At 43.2% G+C, this 12760-nt stretch overlaps 1 protein-coding gene across 14 annotated transcripts in view, besides 1 other annotated feature; it reads right to left on the reverse strand.

The window, feature by feature from the left end:
* RUFY2 (RUN and FYVE domain containing 2) overlaps positions 1-12760 on the reverse strand; it is a 66166-nt gene that overhangs the window by 9051 nt on the left and 44355 nt on the right. For all 14 annotated transcript variants that reach the window (NR_103476.2, NR_103475.2, XM_047425448.1 and 11 more), the window contains one exon: positions 5191-5239. Coding sequence is in view for 12 of the 14 variants with exons in the window: in XM_047425448.1 (XP_047281404.1) it covers positions 5191-5239 (49 nt within the window). In the remaining 2 variants the exon portion in view is untranslated. The remainder of the gene's footprint in view (positions 1-5190; positions 5240-12760) is intronic.
* Positions 4416-4616: a silencer, noted in NCBI's record as "peak992 fragment used in MPRA reporter construct". NCBI's record gives its function as "represses an SCP1 promoter by STARR-seq MPRAs in K562 erythroleukemia cells {active_cell/tissue: K562}" and the evidence as "EXISTENCE:reporter gene assay evidence [ECO:0000049][PMID:32103011]".

Here is a 12760-nt window from a genome sequence, read left to right on the forward strand (position 1 = left end):
CCATGCCTGGCTAATTTTTGCATTTTTAGTAGAGATGGGGTTTCACCATGTTGGCCAGGTTGGTCTCGAACTCCTGACCTCAGGCCAATCCACCTGGCTCGGCCTCCCAAAGTGCTGGGATTACAGCCGTGAGCCACCATGCTTGGCCTAATCAAGGCTTTAGATTTAACTTCCAGTTCACAGGCAACAAGTAGACAGGAACAAGTTAACAAACACTGCAAACAAACATTCAGAGAAAATCCAGAATGTGAAAAACTGTTTAGGACAGCTGTTCTAGACCCTTCAGCTGGTCAACAGCATGGAAAAGAAAAAAAAGTCAACTCAGATATGAATCCAGTTTCCACATAAAAAAACTGAGAAAAGCAGATAATATTCTGTTAAAGACAGATGTGAGTAATAAGTATAAAGCAAAACAAAGTAATAATTAACACAAAATACAGGAGAGATGCCATAAAGAGGAGAGTGCAATCAAGAAGCAGATGAGGCTTCTAAGGTACTGGTCATGTTCTATTATCATTAACCTAAGCGGAGGATACGCAGTGTTTTTTTGTTTTTGGTTTTTTTTTTGGAGATGGAATTTTGCTCTTGTTGCCAGGCTGGAGTGCAATGGCATGATCTCAGCTCACCACAACCTCCGCCTCCCAGGTTCAAGCAATTCTCCTGCCTCAGCCTCCTGAGTAGCTAGGGTTACAGGCATGCACCACTATGCCCGGCTAATTTTGTATTTTTAGTAGAAATGGGTTTCTCCATGTTGGTCAGGCTGGTCTCGAACTCCCGACCTCAGGTGATCTGCCCACCTCGGCCTCCTAAAGTGCTGGGACTGCAGGCATGAGCCACCGTGCCCCGCCCCACAAGTGTTTTTAAGTTGTACTATATATGCATTCTTATATGCATATTTCACAAAACTTTTTTTAGAGTTTACATAATGATGGTTTTGGCAAATATCCATGTATCCATACATTTTTTTTTTTTTTTTTTTTTTTTTTTGAGACGGAGTCTCACCCTGTTGCCCAGACTGGAGTGCAAGGGCATGATCTCTGCTCATTGCAACCTCCACCTTCCGGGCTCAAGCAATTCTCCTGCCTCAGCCTCCTGAGTAGCTGGGATTACAGGCATGTGCCACCACGCCCGGCTAATTTTTTCTTTTGTATCTATAGTAGAGGTGAGGTTTCACCATGTTGGCCAAGCTGGTCTCAAACTCCTGACCTTGTGATCCACCCGCCTTGGCCTCCCAAAGTGCTGGGATTATAGGCGTGAGCCACCACGCCCAACCTCCACCCATCTTTTTTTTTTTTTTTTTTTTTTGAGACGGAATCTTGCTCTGTCGCCCAGGCGGGAGTGCAGTGGTGCAATCTCAGCTCACTGCAACCTCCACCTCCCAGGTTCAAGTGATTCTCCTGCCTCAGCCTCCCAAGTAACTGGGACTACAGGTGCGTGCCACCACACTCAGCTAATTTTTGTATTTTTAGTAGAGGCGGGGTTTCACCATGTTGCCCAGGATGGACTCAATCTCTTGATCTTGTGATCCGCCCACCTTGGCCTCCCAAAGTGCTGGGATTACAGGCGTGAGCCACTGCACCCGGCCCCATCTTCTTGAAAAGTATGAGGATACGGCCTGGCAAGGTGGCTCACGCCTGTAATCCCAGCACTTTGGGAGGCTGAGATGGGCAGATCACCTGAGGTCAGGAGTTCGAGACCAGCTTTGCTAACATGGTGAAACCCTATCTCTACTAAATATACAAAAATTAGCTGGGCATGGTGGTGGGTGCCTGTAATCCCAGCTACTTGGGAGGCTGAGGCAGGAGAATTGCTTGAACCCAGGAGAGGGAGGTTGCAGTGAGCCGAGATCATGCCATTGTACTCCAGCCTTGGTGTCAGAGCAAGACTGTCTCAAAAAAAAAAAAAAGAAAAAAAGTGTGAGGATAAAACAAAGGTATATTCAGATACGCAAATTCTTTTCTTTCTTTTTTCAAATTTTGGTAGAGACAAGGGCTTGCTATACTACCCAGGCTGGTCTCAAACTCCTGGCCTCAAGCAATTCTCCCACCACAGCCTCTTAAAGCACTGGGGTTACAGGTATGAGCTACCATGCCTAGTCTCCAGATGTGTAAATTCTTACAACCTCTATCTTCATTCACCATTTTCAGGAAGCTACTGAAAGATGTGTTGCCGAAAATAAGGGAGTATACAAAGAGAGAAGTTAGGGAATTCAGGCAACAGGAGCTCCCACAAAGGGGGAAGGTAAAGGAAATTCTGAGAATACCAGCAAAGGGAAACATCAGGACCAGAACAAACATGAGCAGGAGAGCAGAGAACTCTTGAAGTTGGAGGCAAGACGTCAAAGAAAAAATAATGACGTAACCAAGTACCTGATATATTTTACCATGTGGAAAACTTTATCAAGAAGCTTTTTTAAATAGAGGTGTTTCAAGGTATGAGAAAACTCAAATGTTATACAACTAATTTGTTTTTAAAAAGAGAGGGGTGGCTGGGCACGGTGGCTCACACCTGTAATCCCAGCACTTTGGGAGGCCAAGGTGGGCAGATCACAAAGTCAGGAGTTCGAGACAAGCCTAGTCAATATGGTGAAACCCCATCTCTACTAAAAATATAAAAATTAGGTGGCACATGCCTGTAATCTCAGCTACTTGGGAGGCTGAGGCAGGAGGATCACTTGAACCCGGGAGGTGGAGGTTGCAGTGAGTCAAGATCGTGCCACTACACTTCAGCCTGGGCAACAGAGGGAGACTCCATCTCAAAAAAAAAAGAGGGGGCAATTATTAACTCCAGAGGAAGGATAAAGTAGTTCAAGTAAGAAAATATAATCACAGTACCTGGCTCAGCAAGGAACAACATTCAAATAATCATAATAAAAAATTCAGAATAGGGGCTAGATGCAGTGGCTCACACCTGTAAGCCCAGCACTTTGGGAGGCCGAGGCAGGTGCATCACCTGAGGTCAGGAGTTTGAGACCAGCCTGGCCAACATGGCGAAACCATCTCTACTAAAACTATAAAAATTACCCGGGTGTGGTAGCACACACCTGTAGTCCCAGCTACTCGGGAGGCTGAAGCAGGAGAATCTCTTGAAGCCGGGAGGCGGAGGTTGCAATGAGCCGAGATCGCGCCACTGCACTCCAGCCTGGGTAACAGAGCGAGACCCTGTCTCGAAAAAAAAAAAAAAAAATGAGCTAGGCGTGGGGGCAGGTGCCTGTAATTTCAGCTACTGGGGAGCCTGAGGCAGGAGAATCACTGAACCAGGGAGGCAGAGGTTGCAGTGAGCCGAGATCATGCCATTGCACTCCAGCCTGGGTGAAGAAGCAAGACTCCGTCTCAAAAAAAAAAATACAGAGTAAGACGGGTTTTGGGGGCTCATGCTTGTAATCCCAGCACTTTAGGAGGCCAAGACTGGAGGACTGCCCGAGGACAGGTGTTCAAGACCACTCTAGACAACACAGCAGATACTGTCTCTACAAAAAATTTAAAAATTAGCCAGGCAAGGTGGCACGCACCTGTGGTCCCAGCTACTCAGGAGGCTGAGGCAAGAGGACAGCTTGAGCCCAGGAGTTTGAGACTGCAGTGAACTATGATTGTGCCACTGTACTCCAGCCTGGGCAACACAGCAAGACCCCATCTCAAAAAAATAATAAATAAAATAACATAAATAAAAAATATATATATAAAGTAAATGAATGCCACAAAAAACCTTACTTGATTATACTGGGAGACCAGAAAGACCAAAATGAGAGTGAGCAAAACTCTTCATCCACCATATGATGACGTTAATATATAAGTCTAAAACTGCTGAATCAAGAGCAAATAGTACATACTGAACATTAGTTAGACATACAGAGATAAATGCCAGAAGAAACAGCTAAAAAACTGGAAGTAGCTCCCTTTGGGTGGCAGGAGCTAGGGCAGATAAAGGGCAAGGGAGTGAAGAACAAGAGACTGCTACCATCATCATCATTATTATTAATAATATTATTTGGAGTTAAATCTTCTTAGTATAATTTTTTAAAAATGATTTTCATGTAACACTTTTTTGTCACCCAGGCTGGCGTGCAGTAAGTAGCATGATCAAGGCTCCCTGCAGCCTCGACCTCCCAGGCTCAAGCAATCCTCCCACCTCAGCCTCCCAAGTAGCTGAGACTATAGACCTGCACCACCACACCTGGCTAATTTTTTCTTATTTTTTAGTAGAAATAAGGTCTATTTTACCCAGGCTGGTCTTGAACTCCTGGCCTCAAGCAATCCTCCTGCCTTGGCCTCCCAAAGTGCTATGAACCACCACACCCAGTATCATGTAACACTTTTTGATTTTAAAAAATGAAGTTGTTGGGTAGGAAGCCACCTATCACTGAAGTGATCACACAGACACTGTCCTTTCTTCTATGTTGTAGCAAGGATTCAGACACATTCACAACCATACTGGTAAAGTGTTCCAACCACTTTCACACACATGTATTAACCTACTCAATATTCAGAGCAACCCTACGCAGAATCATCAGCCTATTTCAGAGAAGGAAGCTGAGGCTCAATGAGGATACATGACTTGCTGAAAGTAAAAGAACTAGTAAGTAATAGACTGGCATAGGAACTCAAGATTCTCAAGTTCATAGGCAATTTCACTCTATCATGCCATACTTTGTAGGGAAGTAAACAAAATTATTTCTAAGGTCAGTTTCTTTTTTTTTTTTTTTGAGAAAGAGTCTCGCTCTGTTGCCCAGGATGGAGTGCAAGGGCATGATCTCTGCTCATTGCAACCTCCACCTTCCGGGCTCAAGCAATTCTCCTGCCTCAGCCTCCTGAGTGGCTGGGATTACAGGCACCCACTACCACACTCAACAAATGTTTGTATTTTTAGTAGAGATGGGATTTCACCATGTTGGCCAGGCTGGTTTCAAACTCCTGACCTCAAATGACCCACCTGCCTCGGCCTCCCAAAGAGCTCGGATTACGGGCGTGAGCCACTGCGCCCGGCCTCTAAGGTCAGTTTCTAAAGGAAGGTTATTAATAATGTGACTCTAGGGGTACAGGGAAGAGCTGAACCCCCAGCATCCAAGCTCCTCATTCAGTGCTTCGGCCTCTATATATCCTGGGGTTAATAATACATTAGATTCACACAGGGCATTACCTTCCATTGGAGACTTTCACATACCTTCCCACTTTAGGAAAACGTTCTACTCACCTGCAATGCTTTGTTGGCTTCTTTTATGTCTTCAATTTTAAGTTTTGATCTAAAAAGATTACAAATAGGTCCAAATTTCAGTACACATATTTAAATATAGAACACTTAGTATTTCAGTAGGTATTGGTATTTCATAGGATATAAAATTATGTATAGTATATGATTTTTATGGCCTTCTCTGGCTAGTGGAATATTTCATATTTTCCTATATTTTCTAAATGTCCTAAAGCAAAAATATTTTAGATTTAAAACTTGCTTTTTAAGAAATATTGGCATTTTCGGCTGGGTGCGGTGGCTCATGCCTGTAATCCCAGCACTTTGGGAGGCCGAGGCCCGCGGATCACGAGGTCAGGAGATCGAGACCATCCTGGCTAACATGGTGAAACCCCGTCTCTACTAAAAATACAAAAAATTAGCCAGGCATGGTGGCGGGCGCCTGTAGTCCCAGCTACTCGGGAGGCTGAGGCAGGAGAATGGCGTGAACCCGGGAGGCGGAGCTTGCAGTGAGCCAAGATCACGCCACTGCACTCCAGCCTGGGTGACAGAGTGAGACTCCATCTCAAAAAAAAAAAAAAAGAAAAAAAAGAAATATTGGCATTTTCATGTGATCATGACAATATTTATAGCTATCATTTATTGTAGGTTTACTATGTGCCTTTGCATGCATAATCTCATGTAATCTACACAAAAACCTATTTTAAAGATGAAGAAATGACTGATGAAGTTTAGTCACTTGTAAGAAGTCAGAGAGCTCCAACTGGGGGAGCTAGGATTCAAACCCTTGTCTGTGACCCCAAAGGGCACATGCTAACCATTATTCACATTATTTCTCTAGCAAATACAGAAGTGCTAAGGAAGAAAATACTGTGAGCCAGGCGCGGTGGCTCACACCTGTAATCCCAGCACTTTTGGGGGCCAAGGCGGGTGAATCATCTGAGGTCAGGAGTTCGAGACCAGCCTGGTCAATATACAGTGAAACCCCATCTCTACTAAAAATACAAAAATTAGCTGGAAATAGTGGTGCACGCCTGTATTCCCAGCTACTCGGGAAGGTGAGGCAGGAGAATCACTTGAACCCCGGAGGCAGAGGTTTCAGTGAACCAAGATCACACCACTGCACTCCAGCCTGGGTGACAGCGAGATGCCGTCTCAAAAACAGCAACAAAAAAGAAAATACTGTGGAAGACACAGCTGCAAATACTTTCCCACTTTTTTGATGGAGTCTCGTTCTGTTACCCAGGCTGCAGTGCAGTGGCACGATCTCAACTCACTGCAACCTCTGCCTCGTAGGTTCAAGTGATTCTCCTGCCTCAGTTTCTTGAGTAGATGGGATTAGAGGCACCCGCAATAACTCCCAGGCTAATTTTTGTATTTTTAGTAGAGACCGGGTTTCACCACGTTGGCCAGGCTGGTCTCGAACTCCTGACTTCAAGTGATCCACCTGTCTTGGCCTCCCAAAGTGCTGGGACTACAGGTGTGAGCCACCAAGCCTGGCATTTTCCACCTTTTGAAAATATGTATGTTGGGCCAGATGCGGTCTCTCATGCCTGTAATGCCAGCACTTTGGGAGACAGAGGTGAGCAGACCGCCTGAGGTCAGGAAGGAGTTCAAGACCAGCCTGGCCAACATGGTGAAACCCCATCTCTACTAAAAATACCAAAAAAATTAGCTGGGCGTGGTGAGGGGCGCCTGTGATCCCAGCTACTCAGGAGGCTGAGGCAGGGAGAATCACTTGAACCGGGGAAGCAGAGATTGCACTGAGCCGAGATCGTGCCACTGCACTCCTGGGTGACAGAGCAAGACTCCATCTCAAAAAACAAGAAAAAGAAAAAAGAAAATACATATGTTGGGATCAATTTGCTACCAAGTGGTATAACTTTGTTTTTTTTTTTTTTAGATGGAGTTTTGCTCTTTCACTCAGGCTGGAATGCAGTGGCATGATCTCGACTCACTGCAACCTCCGCCCCCAAGGTTCAAGCGATTCTCCTGCCTCAGCCTCCCGAATAGCTGGGATTATAGGCAGTTGTCACCACACCCAGCTAATTTTTGTATTTTTAGTAGAGACGGGGTTTTTCCATGTTGGCCAAGCTGGTCTCAAACTCCTGACCTCAGGTGATCCACCCGCCGCCTCGGCCTCCCAAAGTGCTAGGATTACACACGTGAGTCACCGTGCCAAGCCCCAGTTGGTATAATTTAAATTTTTTTTTCTTTAAAAAAGAAAATGTGTTAATGAAAATGCAAATTATAAAAAACAATATTTAATTACCTGTGATCCCATTACCCAGAGGTAATCTTCTCTATATATCTGTGTATTTTAAATGGAATAATTATCTACATAGTTTTCCATAACCAGCTATTTTCACAATATATCCTGAACAGCTTGCAGCTACTGGCTTGTTACCGAGTATCTGCCATTATCATTATAGTAAATGGTCACTTGGTATATACCATGAAAAAGAATATAAAATAGTATATATAATTATCTACTGTTGATCTTTCAACTTGTTTCAAATTTTTCGCCACAAAAGTTGTTTATTAAAATTACAATGACTAGTTCAGGCATGGTGGTTCCTGCCTGTAATCGCAGCACTTTGGGAGGCTGAGGTGGGGAGATCACTTGAGGTCAGGAGTTCCAGACCAGCCTGGCCAACATGGTGAAACCTCATCTCTATCAAAAATACAAAAATTAGCCAGGCATGGTGGTATGCACCTGTAGTCCCAGCTACTCAGGTGTCTGAGGCAGGAAAATCGCTTGAACCTGGAAGGCATAGGTTGCAATGAGCCAAGATTGCACCACTGCCTTCCAGCTTGAGCAACAGAGCGAGACTCTTATCTCCAAAAAACAAACAAACAAACAAACAACAACAAAAAAATTGGAATGACTAAAACATTAGTATTAATTCTCTTACAAATGAAATTCCTGAATCAAATGATATATCAGATACTAAAGCCTCTACTACTGAAGCAGGACATTAAAAATCTGCTTTGCCCTATAAAATGCTCTTCATTCCAAGACATAAAAACAAAGTGTGAGTCTTTCACCTACCTCATATTGACTCTTACGGTGGAAATAATCAATGTAAAACTACACACTGTAAAAATACTGACATAATCATCACATTTTCTTGGCTAAATTCACATCTACAAAATGTGCCTCAGGAAAACTGACTCTTGGGAATAGTGGCCACAACAGTGATGATTTAATTATGCTATACAGAAAAACTGAATATGGAATTAAAGTGGCTTAATGATATTCACCACAGAAAATATTTTCTTGGCTGGGCACAGTGGCTCACACCTGTAATTCCAGCACTTTGGGAGGCCAAGGCAGACGGATAACCTGAGGTCAGGAGTTCGAGACCAGCCTAGCCAACATGGTGAAACCCTGTCTCTACTAAAAATACAAAAATTAGCCGGGAGTGATGGCACACACGTGTAATTCCAGCTACTCTGGAGGCTGAGGCAGGAGAATCGCTTGAACCCAGGAGGCAGATGTTGCAGTGAGCCAAGATCACGCCACTGCACTCCAGCCTGGGCGACAGAGCAACACTCGGTCTTATGCCCGGCCTAGGAAATACTTTATGATAATTTACTGGTATTGATAGATTTTTGATTTAAATGCTCTTATTCATAAATAAGGACTCAAAAAAGACGGCCTCTCTATGATACATATTGCCTAAGTGTCCTAAAGAAAGGAGCATCGGTTACAATCCCAATAACCATAATGTACAAGAATACCTTCTCAGCCAGGCACAGTGGCTCATGCCTGTAATCCCAACCCTTTGGGAGGCCAAGGTGGGTGGATCACTTGAGGTCAGGAGTTCGAGACTAGCCTGATCAACATGGTGAAATCCCACCTCTACTAAAAATACAAAATTAGCCAGATGTGGTGGCACACGCCTGTAATCCCAGCTATTCAGGAGGCTGAGGCAGGAGATTTTGTATATATACATATATACGTATATATACATATATAAAATAAGCCTAAAAGGAAAATATACATATGTATACATATACGTATATATGTGTGTATATATACGTATATATACATATATAAATATGTGTGTATTGCGTGTATATATACGTATATATAAATATACATAGTAGTAATGCTACTATATATAAAAATATATATAGTAGTACTACTATATATATAAATATACATAGTAGTATATTTATATATATAATGCTACTATATATAAAAATATATATAGTAGTACTACTATATATAAATATACATAGTAGTAGTGCTACTATATATATATAAAAATATACATAGTAGTAGTGCTACTATATATATAAAAATATATATAGTAGTAGTACCAGCTACTCGGGAGGCTGAGACAGCAGAATTGCTTGAACCTGGGAGGTGGAGGTTGCAGTGAGCCGAGATTGCACCACTGCAGTCCAGCCTAAGCAACAGAACAACTCCGTCTCAAAAAAAAAAAAAGATAGATTTGGAAGGCTTTAAACACTGACTATTCTTCTGAGTAAATTATAATTAGACTGTCTAATAATTAAGGAAATGAAAATAAGCCTGAAAGGAAATATATACATATATGTATACACGTATACATATTCTCCTGTCTCAGCCTCCGAAGTAGCTGGGACTACAGGCACATGCCACCACACCCGGCTAATTTTTGTATTTTTAGTAGAGATGGGGTTTCACCACGTTGGCCAGGCTGGCCTCGAACTCCTGACCTCAAGTGATCCGCCCGCCTCAGCTTCCAAAGTGCTGGGATTGCAGGCGTAGCCACAGCACCTGGCCCAAATCTATCTTTTTATAAGAATTCTTCAGGCCAGGTGTGGTGGCTCAAGCCTGTAATCCCAACACTTTGTGAGGCTGAGGAGGTGGGAGCATCATTTGAGCCCAGGAGTTTGAGACCAGCCTGGGCAACATAGTGAGACCCCGCCTCCATATAAAATATATAAATAAAAATTTAAAAAAGAATCCTTCAAGCTGGATGTAGTGGCTCACACCTGTAATGTCAATATTTTTGGAAGCCGAAGCAAGAGGACTCCTTGAGGCCAGGAGTTTGAGACCAGCCTGGGGCAACACAGTGAGACTCTGTCTCTATTTAATTTTTTTAAAAAAATAATCTTTCAGGCCAGGTGCGGTGGCTCACGCCTGTAATCCCAGCACTTTGGGAGGCCGAGGCGGGCAGATCACGAGGTCAGGAGATCGAAACCATCCTGACTAAAATGATGAAACCCCATCTCTACTACCAAAATACAAAAAAAAATTAGCCAGGCATGGTGGCGGGCACCTGTAGTCCCAGCTACTCAGGAGGCTGAGGCAGGAGAAGGACGTGAACCCGGCAGGCAGAGCTTGCAGTGAGCTGAGATACTGCCACTGCACTCCAGCCTGGGCGACAGAGCGAGACTCCATCTCAAAAAACGATAATAATAATCATCATCATCTTTCAATAATAAGCCGATAAGAGCAAATATTTCAATTTTCAAACCCAGTAAGTGGAGGTTGCAGTGAGCCAAGATCACACCACTGCACTCCAGCCTGGGTGACAGAGTGAGACCCCGTCTCAAATAAATAAATAAATAAATAAATAAATAAAGGCAACATCTAGACATTTATATGATCATGCCTGTAATTCAACTATAAAGTCTCTATTAAGTATGAAGTGAGGGGCCGGGCGTGGTGGCTCATGACTGTAATCCCAGCACTTTGGAGGCCAAGGCAGGCAGATCACCTGAGGTCAGGAGTTCAAGACTAGACTGGCCAACATGGTAAAACGCTGTCTCTACTAAAAATTAGCCAGGTGTGGTGGTGGGCGCCAGTAATCCCAGCTACTCAGGAGGCTGGGGCAGAAGAATCGCTTGAAAAGAACCCAGGAGGCAGAGGTTGCAGTGAGCTGAGATAGCACCACTGCACTCCAGCCTGGGCAACAAGAGCGAAACTTCCTCTCAAAGAGAAAAAAAAAGTATTAGTTGGGGAATGGGTGAAAAGTAACACATATTCCTTACTTTACTATTCCACTGTTTTAATATTAAACCATTATGATCTTAGTAAACGCAAACATGCTTATTTTATATTGTGAGGATTGCTCACTGTTGAGTCTCTAGCACTTAGTATAGTGCCTGGCACATAGTAGAAGCTCAATAAGTGTCTGTCAAGAAATAAATGGAAAATAAGGTAATAAGCACTTAGCACAGGGTCTGGCTCAAAGTGCTCAATAAATGGATGCCAGATTGGAATTGAAATCTTGCTTATCAGAACCACAATGCAGATTGTTCTTTGAAGAGCTGTAAAGACAAAAACAGCTTTATCTTTTTGAGATCTAATATTTCCTTTTCTGGTTCTAGTGAATTACTCCTTCTTATGCCCTTGGAAATTGGTTGCATTATCTCTTAATGGAATCCCACCTTTAGCAACTAAGTCTCCATTCTAGTATGATTTCTACTTAATTGAATATATACAAATGACATATGTCCATATAACTAATTCTATCTAAATAAATGACAAGATGTTTACACATAGAATTGTTTGAGGTTAGTTAAACTTTGCAGATTAATACTTGGGAGAAGGGAAGTACTTGCTTTTTTATCTTAAACCTTTTTGTGCTATTTGAATGTTCTAATCACATAAAACATCAAAGAGATTTATACAGGTGAAGAGATTATGAGACATTGTAGCTTTCTTATTTTTACTTTTCTGTACTTAAAAAAGTGGGCTGGGTGCAGTAGCTCACACCTGTAATCTCAGCACTTTGGGAGGCTGAGGCAGGATGATGTCCTGAGCCCAGGAGTTCAAGACCAGCCTGGACAACATACCAAGATCCTAACTCCACAAAAAATAAAAAAAAATTAGCCAGGTATGGTGGTGTGCGTCTGTGGTCCCAGCTACTCCGGAGGCTTGAGGTGAGAGAATAGCGTGAGCCTGAGAGATCAAGGATGCAATGAGCTGTGCCTGCGTCACTGTTCTCCAGCCTGGGCAACTTGAGAGCAAGACCTTGTCTCAAAACAAATAAAAATAAACAAAAAATATTTAAAACGACTATATATTTTAAATGTGGCAGTGGTACATTCAATACTAAATTAAACCCTCTTGAGCTTATTCCAAATATCTGGCAATATGTTCAATCAGGCGCAAAGCTGCTACCCCAAAACACAGACTATGGGGAACAAAAGGAAAATGTGGCTGGGCACAGTGACTCACGCCTGTGATCCCAGCATTTTGGGAGGCTCAGGTGGGAGGACTGCTTGAGGTCAGGAGTTTGAGACCAGCCTGGGCAACATGCAAGACCCCATCTCTATAAACAATAAAAAATTAGTAGGGCATGATGGTGCCTGCCTGTAGTCTCAGCTACTTGGTAAGCTGAGGTGAAAGGGTTGCTTGAGCCCAGGAGGTCAAGGCTGCAGTGAGTTATGATTGTACCACTACATCCTGCCTAGGCGAGACCCTGTCTTTGAAAAAAAAAAAAGGAAATGAAAGAAAGGCAAAACACCATTTCTCCTTCTTGTCTTTACAGGATCCCAGTGACATTTTACTGCAACAAAACCAAACTGTATGAAGTTAAGCCCTGTCTCCAGGAGGCATGAAACCACCTCC

The sequence above is a fragment of the Homo sapiens genome, chromosome 10, assembly GCF_000001405.40.
Source record: "Homo sapiens chromosome 10, GRCh38.p14 Primary Assembly".
Taxonomy (NCBI): Eukaryota; Metazoa; Chordata; class Mammalia; order Primates; family Hominidae; genus Homo; species Homo sapiens.